This window comes from Homo sapiens, chromosome 16, assembly GCF_000001405.40.
Source record: "Homo sapiens chromosome 16, GRCh38.p14 Primary Assembly".
In the NCBI taxonomy this organism is placed as follows: Eukaryota; Metazoa; Chordata; class Mammalia; order Primates; family Hominidae; genus Homo; species Homo sapiens.
This window is the reverse complement of record NC_000016.10, coordinates 51,576,926-51,578,718: the sequence shown is the minus strand read 5'-3', so window position 1 is coordinate 51,578,718 and position 1,793 is coordinate 51,576,926. Positions and strand designations below refer to the sequence as shown.

General features: G+C 38.5%; 1 annotated feature.

Moving 5' to 3' along the window:
• Positions 380–1,579: an enhancer, noted in NCBI's record as "P300/CBP strongly-dependent group 1 enhancer chr16:51611051-51612250 (GRCh37/hg19 assembly coordinates)". NCBI's record gives its function as "activates an origin of replication core promoter dependent on BRD2, BRD4, P300/CBP, MED14 and CDK7 cofactors, with strong dependence on P300/CBP, by STARR-seq in HCT116 cells {active_cell/tissue: HCT116}" and the evidence as "EXISTENCE:reporter gene assay evidence [ECO:0000049][PMID:35650434]".

The following is a 1,793-nucleotide window of genomic DNA, read 5'->3' as shown; positions in this document are numbered from 1 at the left end:
AAAAAAAATTGCCTTCCTTTTGTTACAACTTGCTCGGCTTTTCACCCATCTACCTGAAAAATAATAATATTTGGGATAGCGATGCTTACTGAACACATACTATATGCTAGGCACTGAACAGTCGTTGTGTATTATATCCTTTAGTCCTTAAAGTCAGCATTTTTACTCCCATTTTGCAAATAAAGGAGTGAAAAGAGGAAACTTCTATTGCTAAACCCAGCCTCTTAACCATCACACCATCTTGCATCCATGTGAATTTAGTAGCATTCAAGCAGTATTTAAAACAATGTATGAGTTTAATTGTAGGAAAGAATGAGATTCAAGGTTCTCTTTTTTTCTGTCTAAAATTATGCATGCATTTCAGGAAAGGGTTGTTTGTTGTATTTTTTTTTGGATGCAGTGTTTGGCTCTCATGGGAAAATGGCATCTTCTTAATAAAGGGACAGATAAGAGAATAATCTGTTAAATGTAATCATAGAAAGACATTTTATGATTGTGCCTGTTATGATTTGGCTTCCCATGCATTGTTGTCATTCAATTCCATAAACATTCCTTTGTTCAGGAGATGACAGCACCTACTCTAAAGGTATTGTTAATATGCTGAGTAAAAACACACTTACCCTTTGCAAGCTATGGTTTTGCTTTGAAATCTCTGTAATTAACACATTCACATTTCAGGCACCGGGTATTATTGAGTTCAAAGAAACAAAGATGTATTTCATTTTTTTTTCTACAGATGATTCATCAGTTCCACTCCTTCCACCTACAGATGTCTAAACTTCAGTTTTCTGTGAAGCTACAAAGCATGAACTGGCATCTACACATTGAGTCAGAGGACGCCAAGTGTTAAACTGTAATACCGCCAACAGTTCGGTGTCAAGCCTCTTAACCTACTTTCCGGTGTAGGCGTCATTAACAATGCTCTTTGCCCTTGGGCACTAAAAGGAAAAGACTCTGGTAACCCTACACCAGTGGTTCCACTTAAGTAACTACCTGATGCATAGTTATCTTTCCAGGCTATCCGGTGAAGGGAGTGGAAACATTTGCTTCTGGGTCCCAGCCTGGCAAGCTGGTTAACGCTTGTCAAAGAAACAGCTCACTGTTTCCGATGCTCAGTCTCTGACCCGTACTTGAATTTTCACACCCATGATAACCAGATAATACCCTGGTTTGTGTTTGCTGGGCCACAAGACAGCACAAACATCATTGTGTCCACTTAAAACACACACACACGAAATAATGCATTTAAGAGGAAACACTGACATGCCTTGGCTAACTTTCTAGATGCATCCGTACTAATTTGAAATATCACCCCTCGCAATCTCCAGGTGATGAGTTTAGAAACTCTGTCATTTATGTATTCTTTATTTGTTCAAGTAAATATATTAAGCATTCAAATATTCACTACGGATCTGCTTAAAGAGCTACTGTATACTTTTTTTTTCAATGTATTAAGACTGCCCCTGGCTATCAACTTGAGTCTTGACCAGTTGGGCTAGCTAATTAGGTTGAATATTCCAGATAAATGAAACTCCCTGCAGAGAGAGATAATTCAAGCCATTCCCTATTTTATAACGAACATTGTAAAAAGTGATTTCTTCATTAGGAGAAGACGGGGCTGCTGCAAGGCGGTGGAAATCTGCAGGAAGCTCTCCTCCAATTTTGCAAAGGGAATATTTTCAACAGGCATATCCTCAACATTTAAAAATGTCCCTTGGGGACTAAGTAGGCCAACTTTTGGAAGCCGGCAATTTTTCAACCCCAGATCAAAAGTGACATTTTACAAGAGGCAC